Genomic DNA, 20380 nt, shown 5'->3' on the forward strand with positions numbered 1-20380 from the left:
TGCCTAAATAAACAAAAGATAAATAAGGGAATGTTTTGGAAAATTACACTTTTAAATCCTAAGGAGAATGAAATCTTCCTAATTTGTTAATGGATCACTAACTTTTAATGTTTTCTCCTGCAAATGCTATGACACCCAAAATGATAATTTAAACATTGGAAACCTCATCTCTTAGCAATACAAAAATTGTTGAAATCAATTTCAAAGAGTAAATATATTCAAGTTTATTTTCAGTTTTATCATCATCTGAAAATTAATTTTCTTTCTTTTTTGGTGTCAAACACTTTGGTGGCAACCACTATTTTATTTCAGTATGTAATCCTGAATAAAGCACCCTAAAGTAGAAGAGAGATTCTTTTCTGACTTATGACCATCCCTAGGCTGTAGCACTCAGTCTAGCATATAAAGAGTACATTGGGAATTTGAAATTAAAGAAACCACATCATTTATATTAATACATCCCAAAATGAAATACTTAGGTATAAATCTAACAAATGTGTACAAGATCTATATGAAAAAAAACTAAACAACGCTGGTGAAAGAAATCAAATTAGAACTAAACAAATGGAGAGATATTCCATAACAATGGATAGTAAGACTAAACACTGACAAAATATCACTTCTTCCCAAATTGATCTACAGCAGCAGTCCCCAAGTTTTTTGACACCAGGGACCAGTTTCACGGAAGACAATTTTTCCACAGATAGGGTGGGAGGGATGGTTTCAGGATGAAACTGTTTCACCTGAAATCATCAGCATTAGATTCTCATAAGGAGCATGCAGCCTAGATCCCTCGCATGCACATTTTGCAACCTGCTGTCAAAAACTCATTCTGATATAATGTGGAGTATAAACATAAAAGAATACACAAATACTTAAAAATGCTTAAGGAAATAAATACATCCTTAAGAAAACCCTGAATTGAAAAGTGGGTCTAAAGCACATATCTACTATAATGTCTATAAAAATCAGTGATTGAAGATGACCATAAAGTGAGAAAGAATTTTGAAGTGTTTTAAATAAATCAGAAAAGAAACAATTATGGAGACAGTAAAAAGATCAGGTGTTGCTGGGAATTAGGGAGAGGGTGGAATGAATACATGCAACACAGAGGATTTTTAGGGCAGTGAAATTATTCTGTATGATACTATAATGGTGAATACATGTTATTATACATTAGTTAAAACCCACAGAATGTACAATACCAAGAGTGAACCCTAATGGGAAACTATCAATTGGCTGATAATGATGTGTCCATGTAGGTTTATTAATTGTGACAAAAGTACCACTCTGTTGGGAGATGTTGATAATGAGGGAGGCTATGAATGGGTAGGACAGTGAGTATATGAGAAATGTCTGTATCTTCTGCTCAATTTTGCATGAACTTAAAGCTGCTCTAAAAAATAAAGTCTATTTCTATAACACAAAAAAGAGAATATGACAAATATTCTCTTAATTCAATTAATAATAAATTAATTGTTGACATAAGGATGGTTATGGAATGAAGGTTAATTTCAATATCTAAAACTACTGGTGAGTGGACATCCCATTAAATGCAGCACAGTATGACTCAGTGTATCTTTGTCAGAGAAATTAATGCTTCCTACAATAGCCTATTTAACTATGTAATGATATCTGCTAGCATAAAGTGACTTACTATCACTACTGACTCCATTAAACTGCATACAGATATTATCTTCTTATTTTACATATCTATGGCTGTGATATGAGTCATTTACCATTGATAAGAAATAAAACCAGGAATCAAAAAAGGGCATTTAAAATCTATTTAAGTAGAGCTAATTATTGTGATCCACGTATTTGTTACCCTCTCAAGCACACTTAATCATGTGCTAGGGCACAATTATTAAAATTAGTACAAAAAGCTGTTTACCCAAAGAGCATGAAGAAAATAAAAACAGTTTATTCATGTTTTCCTTAAAAATATATCATATGGCTGATATAGAACATAATCTTGCACAGAATATTGTTGGATTAGGAAGATTAACTATAAATTTCCCTGTAACAGTCTTCTGAACGCATAATATCATTTTCCTTCCCAACCATCCAGTTTAGTCTTAAATGTATCTTCTTGTGCCTCTCTTTTCTTTCAAAGAAAAGGAGAAAGATATTCTATGATTGTAAATTAATATAAACAAAAAATTGTATTTTTTTCATAAATTAAAAACACAACTAGAAAGCAAGAAAAGCCATGAATTTTCTTACAGTGAAATAATCAAAGATAAATAAACTCAATACTTCCAAACTGAATCTTTCTTGTATGCTTCATTTATATAATGTCTTCACAATGAAACCAACCATGCAATAAAAGCAGCAGTATGCCTGTGGAAAATGAAATGCCATCTCTTTAGAAATATCCTTAAAATGAGTGTGTGGGAAGAATATCCAATATTTTGTTCTTCCAGAAGGACAAAATGTTGCAAAACACAGAAGCAAAGAAAAAAATAGTGTCTTCTTTGAAAAATTTTTTAGAATCATGGATTTTAAATATAAAATAATTAAGCAAAAGATCTTGATTTATTTAAAACACTTCAAAATTCTTTATCATTTCGTGGTCATCTTCAATCATTGATTTTTATAGACATTATAGTAGATGTGTGCTTTAGACCTATTTTTCAATTCAGGGCTTCCTTAAGGATTTATTTATTTCCTTAAGCATTTTTAAGTATTTGTGTATTCTTTTCTGTTTATACCCCACATTATATCATAAAGATCTTGAAGCAGTTTATTAAAAACATGCATAATTGCATAATGCAATAATAAAACACAAACAATCAAGACCAAACAAGATATATATTACAACAAAAAGTTAAAAACTGGTCAAAAAAAAGGACAGAAGACACAGATATATTAGATAAACAATTGCTATAGGTCAAATTGTAGTAGTGTTTGGTAGACTTTTATGTATCAAACCGTAACAGAGAAACACAATCAGCTACATTCCTTTATTATCTCTGAGAATTTAAAAAAAAAAAATTTCAAAGAATGAAATATTTTTCTACAATCAGTTCAAAAATAAATTTTAACATGTGCTTTAAAACAGGACACAGTGAAAGATGCAATAGATAAAATACCCAAATAAGTGTACTTGCCTTTGATAAAAGCAGAAGGGGTAGTATATTAACACATAAAAGCAATTCTTTGGAAGGGTTGGAAGGGGACAGACTTCTAAGATCCATGAAGTAAGGCTATGGGCAAGCACTGACACAATGCCAAGTGCAAAATATGTGTTAAATAAAAATTGTGATACTTGTTTTTTTGGAAACAAGTGATCAAATACAACTTGATGGATTAATACTCCATCTCCACAGAAACGTGAGAAAAGTTAGTGACTTCAGGCACAAATGAAAATATTTTCTCAAGAACCAGCCATGAGTCTCCTCAACATGCATTGTATATATCCAGAAATCCTTCAGTCCAGCCTTTCTACTGTGGAGAAAGCACACCTAAAGAGGTCTAGCATTGTGTTATCTGATGTTCTATAGCACTTTTTAAAATATTGTTTTTGGTTAAGAATACGTTAAATAATTTTTAAATGTATATAAGCCAGTTGTTTCCAGATGAGATTTTTTATCAGAGAATAAAGATCAACATGGCCTTAATGTTCCTCTCAGTTTGACTAAATAGGTTTCATCTTGACCATAGGTCCTTGACTTACATTTTCTTAGAGTATTTACTTTGAAAACTCTCCATTGTAAATTCTTTTTCTGGCCCTTCGAGATGTAAATCTTCTACAACCCAGAAATGTCTATCTCAAGACATGGGAGCCATTCCTTTGACATATAATCATGAAGAAAGACAGAGCCCCTATCTTTCAATCTCTGTTGGAAGGTTGGAGCCTGACTTTGATAAAGGACAATTAGCAAACACAGATGGCCTGATCACACTGACCAACCTCTCCGTAACACCCTCCAGTACTTTTCTACTAGTTCTCTCTTGGCTTAAAAACTCTCCCACCTTTTGTTCCAGGCTAGTTAAGTATAATTCTTTCCCCTATTGCAATAGTCTTGAAAAAAGTCTTTCTTGCTTTTTAAACTTGCCCACTATAATTTTTCTTTGACAGCATAAATGTAACATATATTCATATAATTAATTTGTTAAATACATACGTTTTCACATATTCTAAGGGAAAAGGGCTAAGTTGAAAACCAGGAGTAGGTGATTTAAAAATACATTTCCACCCTGCAAACATTTACAAACAAATTGAAAGAAATATGAAAGTATAACAATGCAATTTTCGTAACAGATTGATTTACAGAGATTGGGAACTCTGAGAGGCCATAAGGCATCACCAAGGAGGTCTTACCCGAATGAACATTTGAGCAACGGATACAATTTTTACAGGTGACCAAACAAGGGAAAGGCATTGCCAGCAATTCTGGCAAAGATAATGTGCATTGGAAGTGATCTATAAACCAACAGACAGAAGGCGTGGGAAGAAAGGAAAAAGAAGGAAGAATACGAACGTAATATATAAAAGTCAGTTTCAAGTGGGGTAATTCCTTCTTAAAGTGACAGACAGCTTAAGTCAGGTTGCCATCTGTATATAGCATATTTTATTCAGGCCAAATTTGAACAGCCATTATTAATTGTGCAATTACCTACAATGATAAACTTCAATATGTGTTTTCAAGAATTACAAAGAAAAAAATCAATAGAATACCAACTTAGAAGCTTGTATTATGAAGATTAGCTGACTAATCTAATTAGTCATTAGTAATTCAATTAAGTAATTATTCTCAATCTTTTCTTTCAGGAAACATAGACTTACTTGGTAACAACTTGTGAATGTGTAACGTTTTATTATTCAGTTTGGAAAGTAAATATTTTTGTCCAAATTATTTATGTCCAAAAAAGATAATAATGCTTCAAGTTTACAAGGCAGGGTATGTTTATTTCCTCTCATTGCTTAAGTAAAATTACAATAAGGGAAAACTCTTGGTAAAAATCATGGGGAGAATAAAGAAGCCACAAGAGGCAGAGATTTCAACAAGCTCAGGAAAGAGAAAAAGATTAGTAGATTTTAAAATCGCAGCAGGAGCCAGGACCTAGTGCATATGCAAAGAGATAAACCAGAGAAGGTGTCTGAATTGCACAACAGAAAGTCAGACAGGCTCTTGTATCAGAGGTAGAAGTTACAAGGAAAGTTGGAAATGGTACTCTATGGAGACAGATTAATTGAAAGTGAATGTTAAGAACTGCCTCGACTGTCTCACCTCAGATATCAGGAAACCTAACACTTCCTGCCAAAAGGAAGAAGAGGTTGTTGGGTGGTTTGGCAGGAAAGAAGACAAAATATGTTAAAATAAATATTTGGAGAAAAATAAGGTAGCTATTATGGGTAAAACCATTTTCTTCTAGAAGACTCCTAACAATATGACCAACTCCTTATCTGCCATACGCAGAGTGAACTTTGCAGGGGACAACCTCTGCTCACTAAGAGTTAGTCTTTAAGTGGCTTGATTCTTAAATAGGAAAGAGGCAACATAAAGCCAAGAGAGACTTGAAGAACATTTGCCATATGAAAAAATACCCACAAAAATAAACAAAGAGAGGGGGAAAAAACCATAAAACTTAAGGAAATGGTAAATTACGAAATAAAAAAATAAGTCTCCAATGAATATACTGAGAAAAATATTTAAAATAAGAACATGCAATTAAGGTGTCAAAGGTGTAAATAAGAGAAACATGGTAAGCTGAAGGATGCTTCCCTTATTTTATAAAATGGCAATGGAAACAATGTGCTTTGAAAGAAGAAGGGAAAGCGAGATGAACATTTCCCTGTGACATAGGAAATTAACAGAGAAGGTGTAAAATTATTAAAAACTATTATTTAAAGAAACATTATTTACTAATTTAAAAAAGCAAAAAGATGCCACTGCTTGTATGTTGGTTTGGTTCTTTGTCACTGCTTAAGTAAGTGACTTTCACAGCCTCCTTTTCTATCTACTCCTTACCACCCGTTTACACACCCACTAAAGTCCTGAAGTCCTGGATGCTAGAAAACTAGTTGTAGATTTGTCCTTCAAATAATAACAAATGGCTTATTCTTGTACTCCTGATAATGAAACTGGGCAGAGAAGTAATTTACCCCATAACACAACATGAAGGTCTGAGGTACCACTAGCTAGGCTGGTTGTACAGGAATCTCAATAAAATGAAAATCAAAGAGAAAAAATGAATATAAATATATTTATTAACACTGAATCCCTGTACACTTAAAATGGGAAAGACGGTAATTATATATGCATACTTTACCTCAGCGAAAAAATTTTTAAAGTTAAAATCAAACAACAAAAGAGAAAAACAACAGCAATGTAAAAGTTTTGACTACATTGTATTTTACTTCATGAACATACATCAGAAATACACCAACATATGCACATTTTCTATACAAAATTATGTAAGCCATTTTGGAAGAGTGCTATGAATCTTTCAAAAAATATAAATTAATAATAAAATAAGAACCAGCAAGACAAAGAGGAGAAGAGTTTGATGATGTTACTTTTTATCTCTTTTTAATTGTTTGTAATATGTAACAAGGATCAATTTTCATGTTTTTCTCTGAGTACTTCTTCAAATTTTAACTGTATGAAAGTTAAGACAGCTGGGTCTATAATCACACACAAAAAAATCTTAAAGACAAGCAAGGCTAACGGTTGTCACCAGTATCTTATTATAGTTTCTGGCAGTTTCTCATTAAGTGTTATTTGCCTTAAATTATGAAGCATATTTAGGTTATGAATTAAAGTGGCTTTGAAAATGAATATATTATGTCATACATGATGTAATCCATAAAGTTCCCTTAGCTCCAATCAGAGAAAGACTTTGTTTTATTTTGTCACTTGAAGCAATGCCCTTTAGTCCTTTACCTTGCATTAAGTGGAGCCTTTGAGATTTTACTCAGAAAGCTGAATCTGAAAGGACCAATCAATTTGTGCATCAACTTTTTATTATCCATGGTCATTGCCAATAAAAAGCTCTATTTATTGAGATTATATCTGTGTATTAAGGTATTTTTGATGAAGATGTCTTTAAAATGATGGCAGTTCACTTTCATTCATGGTTTCAAGGTTTCAGTTACTCATGGACAACATCAGTCCAAAAATATTAATTGGGAAAATTCTGAAATAAGCAATTTCGTAAGTTTTCAATTGTGCACCATTCTTGGAAGCATGATGAAATCTCCTGCTGACCTGCTTCATCCTCCAGGCATGTGAATCATTCCTGTATCCAGTGTATCCACGCTGCGTGCTATCTGTTCATTAGTCATTTGGTAGCTCTCTCAAGTATGAGAGTTTTTAGGCATTCACTGGGGCTCTTGAAACCTATCCCTTCAGATAAGAGGTGCTTACTGTATCTCAGTTTTCTTTATTTATATAGACTTAATTGGAACAGTTTTCTCCTACTCACCATAAAATTAACAAAATGTTGAAAGCAAAAATATTAACAGCAAAAAGGTATTGCAATTTTTCAATTACCTAAGAAGATATTTAAATTTTTAAATATTTGCAATATTTAAAATTTTACAAAAAATAAAGGTAATAAAAAAATCATTTCCACCAAGAATTGTCTTAAAGTAAGGAGACTGAGAAAAGGATGAGATGTACTGCACAGATCGTCAAGTTTTGGACTAACCACCTTACAAAGGTATTTAATTTATTTTATATTAATGTGCCTTAACAAGTTGTATTTTGCTACATCTTATATAACATTGTGAAACTTCTAAGGATCAGAAAATTGCTTTCTTTAGTTTAACAAAAGCAAGATGAATTGTATGCTTACTAGAGTAGAATGCTATTTTGTGCATAATTGGTAGTCTTCAACCTAGAGCACAGAAGGTTGGGACTACTTAATATTCTGTTACAGAAAGAGACAAAAAAGGTGGTAACACTATATTTTGCTCTTTGCCACATCACAAATCCCTCTTTTACATTTAAAAATGAAGATAACATGAAATTGATTAAAGCATATTTACTTTCAATTCCTGGGCAGTTTTAGTTGAAAAATAAAGGTTTTGAACTATTGTTCAAAACTATTATTTTGTCAATATTTTCTACAATGTTTTTGGGTTTCAAAGTGACTTCAGTAAAGCTGTCATATTTGGAGACATTCAACTTTCAAATGGCATAAGACAGTGTTATAACTGGACTAAGAGCATAAATATAATAAATAACTTAGACAAAGGCCACTCAATTAAAAAAAGTTTTGTCCTTACCCATATATAGGCACAATCCTTATTATTCAAATATTCCATTTTCCTTCCATCAGGTAAGTGGTGAATATTCTAACCTAACAATTGATTATAATTCATTATAATTTAATTTGAAATAATTATAATTGCATATAATTAAAACAAATTAATTCTGATTAAAGGCAGAATTAGATCTCAAAAAAGACAATAAAATCTGTATTTTTTTTTCCACCTAAGGGAGCTGGATCTATTTCTTCATCCTATCTTTGGCCTGGTGGGGATTTCACATTATAAATGAGGATTCCCAGAATATGAAAGCTATCTAATACATTCAGGCAAAAATTCACTTTCAACTTTGTGTTAAGTGAGTTATATAGAAAGGCGAGGGCAGCATTTTTTGCCAGAGGAAACTGAAGTCAAGAGGGAGCTAAATAGAATCTGGAATGTAGGATCTCTAAATTGCATAGAGAGTGCAAAATTTCAAGTTAGCAGTCTGTCAAGTACTTCATAAGAATTACTACTGTGTTAGCTCTGGTAAAACTGGACTTGATTCACCCTTTAATCCTGGTATATACTCTCATGAATGATGAATATTAAGTATCTATTAAATAGAAACCTTTTTTTGGATGAAACATGCATGGATTAATCTTCTTATTGAAGATAATTAAGGAAATACTGTGTTCCACAATTTATAAGAATATACAGTGTATAAAAATGTTTTCATCAATGTAATTTAAACATACATAGAGGCCGGGCGCGGTGGCTCACGCCTGTAATCCCAGCACTTTGGGAGGCCGAGGCGGGCGGATCATGAGGTCAGGAGATCGAGACCATCCCAGCTAAAACGGTGAAACCCCGTCTCTACTAAAAATACAAAAAATTAGCCGGGCGTAGTGGCGGGCGCCTGTAGTCCCAGCTACTTGGGAGGCTGAGGCAGGAGAATGGCGTGAACCCGGGAGGTGGAGCTGGCAGTGAGCCGAGATCCCGCCACTGCACTCCAGCCTGGGCGACAGAGCGAGACTCCGTCTCAAAAACAAAAACAAAAAACAAACAAACAAAAAAAAACATACATAGAGATTATAATGGAAAAACAAAACTGCTAGGAATTTAAAAAAATACAAAATGAAATTGGCGTGGGCAATCGCCACTTTCTGTCTAAAAATCATTTGCCTTTGTCTCTCCTTTGTCTCTCCTAATAAGCAATAAAATAAATATATGGATTTTCTACAAAAGAAAAGCCCATATCAGAAAAGAAAATGGGAGGTTGTCAGCTTTCTTGAAATTGAAAACTGGAAGGGATTTTTTTTTTCTTATGAAAATAAGAGGCAGAAAAAAAGAAATCAAAAAGGAAATCACTTTTACTTTATCAACAGAAGGAAGATGAGTCAGTTATGAAGACTTTCACTCTTAATGTGAATATCTAATGAAAGAATACAACAAAATGCTAAATATGCAAACAAAAAACTTGACCTTGGAAGAAAGAGAGACAAAACAGAACATAGAAGATAATTATTTTATAATCTATTATGTTATGAAATTATTTGAAAAATCTCATAAATGATCTCTTATAGTCTATATATTTTTATAAATTTAAATTTATATATTTAAATATAGAAATATATGCACATATATCAACATCTAAATTTATATTTTTAAATATTTATATTTTATATAATGCATGTTTATTTAAATATAAATTTGAATATTTATATATGCAAATATATATTTCTATATTTAAATGCATAAATTTATATATTGATATATTTAAATATATATAGATTTATATATTTATATATATATATGTAAATTTTTTTCTTCAAATAATAGGAGGAAAACCTAAGCTCAAATAAATCTAGCAGACGGAATCAAGGAACAGAGTCATGTTGTGGCCAGGATGATAAAATTGGGCTACTACAAAAGAAAATGTATTCTCTCACATCCTAGCCAGCACCTGTATTTATCTGTCTTTTTGATAAAAGTTATTTTAACTGAGGTGAGATAAAATCTCATTGTCTTTTTGATTTGCATTTCTCTGATGATCAGTGATGTTGAGTAATTTTTCAAATACCTGTTTGGCATTTTTATGAATTCTTCTGAGAAATGTCTATGCAGCTTTTTTGCCCATTTTAAAAATCCAATTGTATTTTTCCTATTGAGTTGTTTGAGCTTCTTATATATTCTGGTTGTTAATCTCCTGTCAGGTGGGTAGTTTGCAAATATTTTCTCCCATTCTGTAGGTTACCTCTCTCACAGAATGGGATAGAATATACACTCATAATTTAATCTAAAATTTACCACTCTCCCATATTCTAGAAATTCTACTTCCTTATTATTTTTATTCCTTTTCATGGATATTGTCTTATTTTATTTAAATATTGTATTAATCTGTTTTCACACTGTTGATAAAGACATACCCAAGACTGGGCAATTTACAAAAGAGGTTCATTGGACTCATGGTTCAACATGGCTGGGGAGGCCCCACGATCATGGTGTAAGGCAAGGAGGAGCAAGTAACATCTTATGTGGATGGCAGCAGGCAAAGAGAGGGCTTGTGCAGAGAAACTCCCATTTTTAAAATCATCAGATCTTGTGAGACCCATTCACTAGAGTACAGCATGAGAAAGACCTACCCCCATGATTCAAGCATCTCCCACCAGGTCCCTCCCACAACACATGGGAATTATGGGAGCTACAAGATGAGATTTTATTGGAGACACAGAGCCAAAACATATCGATTATATAAATGAAAGATGAATCTATAGCCTTAAAAAAACTACAACCAATTCCGTTTATTCTAACTGCCAACCCCCAACCACACCGTTCTCTAGAAGCTATCAATTTTCTGATCATTTTGCTGCTGATCATTTTTCATTATTGTCTTATAAAAATATAGTTCTGAATTCTTCATTAGCTTTCAGTAAATGGTGTCATATCGTACATACTTTACTGCAACTCACATTCTTACCTGAAACTATTTTGGAGTTCTAACTTGGCTGGACATGTACAATATCTGTGTAACTATTTCTCTATCGTATGAACTAGGAAGTGGCCTTTGATCAAGTGTATTTTATATATCAACAAATGTAATCAAGTTTCCCTCCAATGTGACTTATGAATATTCATTGCCACCAGTTCATTTTGAGAGTGTTCACTTTACCACCACATTTTTAATATTTGATATTACCAAACATTATTATTGTTCTTATCTGATTTGTAATAATTGTAATATTTTAATTTGCATTTCCTCTTTTTGTGTGTGCCTGAAAATATTTTCTTTCTTTTAAATTTTTTACTTATGCGATTTTCTTGCTTACACGTTTGTTCATTTTTCTTATTGGTTTGTTATTTTGATTTTTGATTTGTTTTCTATTACTTACATAGATCTAATTACTCTAGATACTCATCTTTGGACTTCTTTATATAATGCATTTATTTTCCTTTGATTTGTTGTATTTAACTTTGTTTCACTGTGTGCTTTTTATGCATTCTGATGTAAAATTTATTCATCTCTTCTTTTAATGATGGACATTTAAGTAGCTTCTGAATCTTGGTTATAGTGAATAGTGCTGCAAGAAACATGGGAGTGCAGATATCTCTTCTCTTGATGAAGTTATGAAAATCAGATATACTGATTACCTTTTTTTCTTTGTTTTTTGTTTGTTTGTTTTTTGAGACAGTCTCACTCTGTCACCTGGCTGGAGTGCAGTGGAGCAATCTCGGGTCACTGCACCTCCACATCCTGGGTTTAAGTGACTGTCCTGCCTCAGCCTCCCTAGTAGCTGGGACTACAGGTGAGTGCCACCATGCCCAGCTGATTTTTGTATTCTTAGAAGAGATGGGGTTTCACCACGTTGGCCAAGATGGTCTAGATTTCTTAACCTTGTGATCCACCTGCCCCTGCCTCCCAAAGTGCTGGGATTATAGGCATGAGCTACCACGCCTGGCTTTGATTTCCTTTCTTTTCAGTATATACCTAGCAGTAGGATTGCTGGGTCATATGATAGTTCTAGGTTTAGTTTTTGAGGAATCTCCATAGTCTTCTCCATAGTGGCTATACTAACTTACATTTCCACCAACAGGGTAATAAGGTTCTCTTTTCTCCTATAGCAGACATTTTCAACAAGGTGTGTTCAAAATATCTTTGAAACTGAACTCTCTCTATATTTATATATTTTTACAATTAACTCATTTCCTGTAAGGCTGAATTGTAGGTCAGGAATACTTCAGGAATTAGCTGTTCTCCAAAACATAAATTATATGCAATCATTTGCTGCCCAACATATGCAACCTTTCTTTGCTTTGGAAAAGAAAGAGAAGTAAGAGAAGTCACAAAGAGCCCTTATTGTGTGCAAAATCCTCTTGGGGGTATTTGCCTATAATATTATAACTCAATATGACAACATATTGATTCAGTGCCTCAGAGACAGTAAAAGCCATGTCAAGGACAGGCAGATAGCAACAAAAAAGGAGGGTATTTCACAGAGTTTGCTGTGATCTGTAGTCTCCTACATTTTTCTACACTGAAACTAACATTTTTGTTATTTTATATGTATTTTAAATTACATTTTATTTTTTATCAGGACACAAAAAACAACAAAATTCTATGAAGCCATAAGAAGTAATAGAGCTTAAACAATACAAAATACACCAAGAAAAGATGAGATCTTGGATCCAAGCAACCATGGAAGCCGATTTCTAAATTTCCGCCACTTTAAAACAATTTATTAGCCTGTATAATTTTCCCTATTTGTGAATTGAGTGAATTGATGTCTGAAGTATGTTACAGATTCCATTCAAATCTAAGACTAGATTAATTACTTGGTATTTAAAAAAGCACACACACAAAAGAATATATCGTAAGGGCCTGTCACCAGGCATACATATTAAAGTAAATACCTGAGATTCTTGTACAAAGTCACTATGTGTCCTTTTTTTTGTTGTTCTTTTTTCTTTCTTTTTTTTTTTTTTGAGATGGAGTCTCACTCTGTTGCTGAGGCTGGAGTGCAGTGGCACAATCTCCACTCACTGCAACCTCCACCTCCCAGATTCAAGTGATTCTCCTGCTTCAGCCTCCTGAGTAGCTGGGATTTCAGGCATGCACCACCAAGCTCAGCTAAACTTTTTGTATTTTTAGTAGAGACGCAGTTTCACCATGTTGGCCAGGCTGGTCTTGAACTCCTGACCTCAGGTGATCCACCGCCTCAGCTCCCAAAGTGCTGGGATTACAGGTATGAGCCACCGCGCCCAGCTACTATGTGTCTTTTAATTATTCATTTTGTAGCATGCACTTGGCTGTGATTGGCATAAACAATGAATGAATCTTCCTAGAATCTTTCTTCTCAGTTTTCGCTTTTGTTGTCCTTGGTTTATTGAGAAACAAAAATGCTGGTTAGCGTCCGGAATTGGGTCCTGACGTAGTACATTATGAGGTACTTACATGTCACTCATAATGTTAAAGTAATAACCAGTTTAGACCCAAAACTAGGAAAACAATAATAACATTACTAAACAGGATGATACTGTGATCTCTATGTCTCATTGCTATGGTCGCTGTTTTTCATAATATACTTGACAAGTGACATTCAAATGCATAACATTCAATCATGTGCTGTACATTCTATAGAGATTTTGTAAGTAAGAAAGGCTTCTGAAAATACTCCTATGACATTACCCATTTGGTTTTGGGACAAACAAATAAACGATGTCACCACAAATGAGAGGTGGCTAAGGCACTAAGTGAAGTAATTGCAAAAAAGTTACTCAGTCTAGGAAGTATGGTCCTATGCCTTAACTATTCTTATAACTCCTCGGATGTTTTAATATACTTGTGGTAATATTGAAGAATAGTCATCTTCAAGCTACTTATAGCAGCTACGCATCAAAGTAACTTCCTGAAAATGCCTCAGTTCACACCATTATCCCAAGGTTTGGAGTTAGCCACATTGTATTAGATCCACTTTCAACCATTGTCCATAAAAGATGCTAAAGAGGTACCACTTAATGCAAGTAACAATTAACCTGGAAACCCAATTTGAAAATCCTAAAACTAGAAATATTATTTCAGAAGATTTTCAAAGCAATGTTACCTGCTTTAAGGAAGCCTGAGGGGCATGGCCGTCTCTCCCTCATCAGGTCTTATCTCTCAATGTCAGGGTATAAGAAACTTATTACATTGAATCAGTACTTTCCAGTTTTCCCGTGTCTTTCAAGAATCACATGTAGTTTAGGGCAATTTGTAACAGTATATCTATTATTTCTCAAGTCCTAGAAAAGTATTTGACAAAATGGTGCTTTGTGGAAAGACAATAATTTTTTTCTGCTCCATTTTGGTCTCTTTTGTTATAATAATCAGGCAAACTGAACTAGTGTAAAACAAAGCTTTATATTTTCCTCTTTAAAAGAGCAGAGGAAGAATGTGACTAAATTTACTTTGGCATCATTGATTGAGTACATCCTATTTGCAATGATTTGGATTAGCTATTGAATGGCAAATGGTGACTGGTAAATATTTGTGTATATTTGAACAGATGTAGATGTAGGATCAGCACACTGACGTACAGATAAAACATTTCTTAACACACCTGTCCATATAGCATATTTTGACTTATTTTTGCCCTGGTCAATCCCAGTGTGTACCTATGGTAACCTTATGGGAACAATAGTTCCTCATTCCTCAATATACACTATCACTGTGTGACTTCTTCAGTGTTTACAACACACACAATTTAGCAAGATATTTGATTTCTATGTAATTTAATATGTAATTGTTAAACAGTTTCATATAGAAGACTTTGACTTTTTACTAAGGCACTGGAAAACCTAAGAACTGGATTTTATTCTAGATTGTTATGAGTCAGAAACTTGCATAAATTCTTTTAGGCCTTAGAATGCCTGAAATTCTACACTAATGGGAGTATAATGCCATAGCATAAGATGAGCAGCATAAGATGCAATGAGAACTTACTGTATTTATCTAAGACCCAATCTGTCATTTGCATGTCTAGCTCAGTGCTTATAAAAAGTATATGATTATTTAAAATAAATAAATGAGCATGTTGGGGTTGATATATATGTAGAAAAAGAATGAGGATAGAATGAGATATTAATTATATGTCTACACTTGATGCCTCTGCGCATTTAGACTTCAGCTACAGTTACTTCAAATACCTGTAAGAAATAACGACAATCTGACATAACATTTAATTTTATCTGTTAAATAGCAAACACATCTGCACCCAAATTCAATAACTCCTAAGTGATGTAGGCAACAGAATGACGTATATATATGAAATTTTAAAGACAACTACTTTAAAAATAGATTTTAAAAAATGAATAAATGGTAAGAAAACACTGGGTCTTGGTAAACAAAAGTGACTAAATAATAAATACAGGCACAGCTTGGAGACATTGTGGGTTTGGTTCCAGACCATAAGAATAAAGCAAATATCATAACAAAGTGAGCCACATACATTTTTTGGTTTCCTAGTTCATATTAAAATTATGTTTACACTAGTCTTTTATGTGTGCGATAGTATGATGACTAAAAAAATGCACATACCTTAATTAAAAATGATTTACTGCTAAAAATGCTAATGCTCATTTGAGCTTTCAGCGAGTGGTAATCTGTTAATCTTTTTGCTAGTGGAGGGTCTTGTCTTGATGTGGATGGCTGCTGACAAGCGATGTGGTTGCTAAAGGTTGTCGCAGCTGTGACAATTTCTTAAAATAAGACAACAGTACAGTTTGTCACATCCATTGACTCTTTCTTTCACTAAAAATTTCTCTGTAGCATATGATACTGTTCAATAGCATTTGATCCACAGTAGAACTTCTTTCAAAATTGTAGTCAATCCTCTCTGATAGAGTTTGGATATATGTCCCTCCCCAAATCTCATGTTGAAATCTAGTTCTCAGTGATGAAGGCAGAGCCTTATGGGTAGTGGTTGGGTGAAGGGGGTGGATCCATCATGGCTTGGTGCTGTTCTTGCAATAGTAAGTATTCTTGAGATCTGATTAAGTGTGTGGCACCCCACACCACCACTCTCTTTCACTCCTGCTTTCACCATGTGACATGCTTGCTCTTGCCTCAATTTCTGCCATGAGTAAAAACTCCTTGAGGCCTCCCCAGAAGCTGAGCAGATGCTGATGCCATGCTTCCTGTACAGCCTGCAGAACCATGAGCCAATTAAACCTCTTTTCATTATAAGTTACCCAGTCTCAGGTATTTCTTTATAGCAACACAAGAATGGTCTCGCACACCTCAAATCCTGATACTGCTCTATCAACTACGCTTAGGACATATTCTAAATCCTTTGTTGTCGTTTCACAATGTTTACAGCATCTTACTAGGAGTAGATTTCATTTCCAGAAACCATTTTATTAGATTATCCATTAAGAAGCAACTCCTCATCCATTAAAGTTTTACCATGAGTTACAGCAATTTAGTCCAATCTTCAGGCTCCACTTCTAAACTTCTAACTCTAGTTTTTTTGCTATATCTACCATACTTGCAGTTACTTCCTCTACTAAAGTCTTGAACTCTTCTAAGTCATCGAGAAGGGTTGGAATCAACTTCTTCCAAACTTGTGTTAAGGTTGATATTTTGACCTCCTCCCATCAATCACAAATATTCTTAATGACATCAACAATGGTGAATCCTTTCCAAATGGTTTTCAATTACTATGCTGAGATCCATCATAGGGATTAGTATCTATAGCAGTAGGTATAATCTTATGAAATGTATTTCGTTTTATTTATTTATTTATTTATTTATTTATTTATTTATTGAGACCGAGTCTCGCTGCGATGCCCAGGCTGGAGTGCAGTGGAGTGATCTCGGCTCACTGCAACCTTCACCTCCCAGGTTCAAGTGATTCTCCTGCCTCAGCCTCTCGAGCAGCTGGGATTACAGGCGCCCACCACCACACCTGGCTAATTTTTGTATTTTTACTAGGTTTCACCGTGTTGGTAAGGCTGGTCTTGAACTCCTGATCTCAAGTGATCCTCCTGCCTCGGCCTCCTGAAGTGCTGGGATTACAGGCATGAGCCACTGTGCCCGGCCATGAAATGTATTTCTTAAATCATAATATTCGAAACTCAAAATTACTCCTTTATCCATGTGCTACAGAAAGGATGCTGTGTTCACAGGTATAAAAATAACATTAATCCCTGCGTATATCTCCCTCAGAGCTCTTGGGTGACCAGATGCAATGTCTATGAGCAGTAATATTTTGAAAAAAAAAATAACATTTATAGATAGTAGGTCTCAACAGTAGGCTTAACATACTCAGTAAACCATGCTGTAAACAGATGTGGCTGTCATCCAGGCTTAGTTTCCATTTATAGAGCTTACACAGAGTAGATTTAGCATAATTCTTAAGGGTGAATTTGAAATGATATTTGAAATGATAAATGAGCATTGGCTTCAACTTAAAGTCAGCAGCTGTATTAGCCCCTAATAAAAGTCAGTCTGTCCTTTGAAATTTTGAAGCCAGGAATTGACTTCTCTCTAGCTATGAAAATCCTAGGTGACATCTTCTTCCTTTATAAGACTGTTTCATCTACCTTAAAAATCTAGTGTTTAGTGTAGCCACCTTCATCAATTATCTTGCTGTATCTCCTGGAAAATTTGCTGCAGCTTCTACATAGGAACTCGCTGCTTCACTTTGCAGTTTTATATTATAGAGATGGCTTATTTTCTTAAACTTTGTAAGCCAAACTGTTAGTTTCAAACATTTCTTCTGTAGCTTCCTCCTTCTCTCAGCCTTCAAAGAATTGGAGCAGTGGAGCCTTTCTCTGGATTAGGGTTCTATGCAGGGGTATGTTTTGGCTGCTTTGATCTATCCAAACCACTCAAACTTTCTCCATATCAACAATAAGGCTTTATTAACCTCTGTGTGTTCACTGCAGTAGTACTTTTAATTTCCTCCGAGAACTTTTCCTTTGCATTTACAACTTGGCTAACTAGTGCAAGAGATGTAACTTTCAGTCTATCTCAACTTTTGTCATGCCTTCCTCACTAAGCTTAATCATCTCTAACTTTTCTTTTTTTTTTTGGAAACGGAATTTCACTCTTGTTGCTCAGGCTGGAGCGCAAAGGTGTGATCTTGGCTCACTGCAACCTCCGCCTCCTGAGTTAAAGTGATTCTCCTGCCTCAGCATCCTGAATAGCTGGGATTACAGGCATGCGCCACAACGCCAGACTAATTTTGTATTTTTGGTAGATACGGGGGTTTCTCTATGTTGGTCAGGCTGGTCTCGAATTCCTGACCTCAGGTGTTCCACCCGCCTTGGCCTCCCAAAGTGCTGGGATTACAGGCATGAGCCAACGTGCCCGGCAATCATTTCTAACTTTTCATTTAAAGTGAGAGACATGCAACTCTTACTTTGACTTGAACACTTAGAGATTACTGTAGGGTTATTAACTGACCTAATGTCAATGTTGTTATGTCTCAGGGAATAGGAAGACCCAGGGAGAGGGAGAGAGACAAGGAAAAAGCCATGTGGTGGGGGCAATCGGAACACATAACATTAATTGATTAAGTTTGCCATACCGTGGGCATGGTTCATGGCACTACAAAACTATTACAACAGTAACATCAAAAATCACTGAACAGATATCACTATAACATATATAATAGTATTTAAAAAGTTTGAAATATTGCAAGAATTATCAAAATGTGACACAGAGACATAAAGTAAGCATATGCTGTTGGAAAAATGGCGCTGACAGACTTACTCAATGTAGGGTTGTCACAAACCTTCAGTTTGTAAAAACAACACAATATCTGCAAAGTGCACTAAAATAAGGTTTGTTTGTACTTGAGTCTTTACAAGTAAACATGGCTCATTTCTCAGAGGAGCTAACTCAAAAAAAAGTTATATGAGATCTTACCTTGCCCTAAGATTTCAACTAACTGGACAAAATAAAGTTGCTGAAAGGTACCGATAATGTGAAGGAATAAAAAGCCTTAAATTTTCCTTAAAATTTAATACTAAAAATTTTTTAGTATTTTTAGTATTGACTACTGGTGGGTCAATATTTTTCATCTTTGAATATTCATTTGACAGAAATTTACCAGCATTAGTTAATTGTATCAAAGGCTGTCTCTCTTCATTACTTAAATGCAATGAAATTACTTATTTTATTTCTTTCACAAAAGCAGTTAGTGGAAGGTAATTTTCATATGTAGGGCTCCATTTTCCTCTAATTTCTTTTCCCCCAGGATTAATTTTTTTTTTCAGACAGTAAGAAGGTTTTCAAATCTTCCCTCTGAACTCATTTTAAAACTGTCTAAAAAGCAAAGCTTGGTATATTGGATTTATAGAAGTCTCAGGCTAACATCAATTCTGTTTCTATATTAACATATGACAAAAAACAACCCTATCTTTTGGTTGAATACTGAAAGGGCTAAAACTCATAATTTTCTTCTTCTTATCTGATTTCTAAATGAATTCTTTACCTCACTTATTCTGAAAGAACAAAAGTATAAATAGTTCTATATTCTATTGAGTGTTCTATTAAAAGCACCTTTAGACAAATCCAGAAGTAGATCTAAAGGTTGCCCTCATTCATCTCTCAGAGACACAGCAGATGAAACAACTGTTTTACATCCTTCAGATGTCAGCAAGCATTAATCTATTTTATGCCACCCTCAAGTGATTCCACATAGTTTGGGAAACTGAAATGCTTTGTATTTTAAAAAATTGAGTAATGAAAATAGCTCAAAATTGCCATGTTTATTTTGCCTAAATGCAAAACATCCCTCTCCAAGATTCAATAAATGTCCCATTTTGATGATGTGCAAAATTCTTTAAATTTGCAGCAGTACTTGAGGAACTTGTGCTAACAAGCAGGTAAATATTCCTGTATGAGTCACTTAAACTTGTTTTTTGTTGCTCCTCTATACAAAAGTTGGAGTTGTCCTTAGAACATTTGACAAATTTTTGCAACATTTTCCTCTTTTTACTCAGTGAATTTATATACATAAATCATACCTATCTCATTTTTTAAAATCTAACTTTTCAGGTCTTTCAGACTTTCTCAGAGTTTTAAGGTAAAACTTGAGTGTTGTGAGTTCAGTTTTCGAGAACACTTCCCCAAATTGAATAAATTAATTGCATTACAGTTTATTTAACAATATGTATATAAAAAATATTGCTCAG

The 20380-nt window shown here is 34.0% G+C and overlaps 1 protein-coding gene across 5 annotated transcripts in view; it reads right to left on the reverse strand.

Moving 5' to 3' along the window:
* Nucleotides 1–20380, reverse strand: part of CDH12 (cadherin 12) — a 1102672-nt gene that overhangs the window by 802400 nt on the left and 279892 nt on the right. The window lies entirely within an intron of this gene.

The sequence above is a fragment of the Homo sapiens genome, chromosome 5 (genome assembly GCF_000001405.40).
Source record: "Homo sapiens chromosome 5, GRCh38.p14 Primary Assembly".
In the NCBI taxonomy this organism is placed as follows: domain Eukaryota; kingdom Metazoa; phylum Chordata; class Mammalia; order Primates; family Hominidae; genus Homo; species Homo sapiens.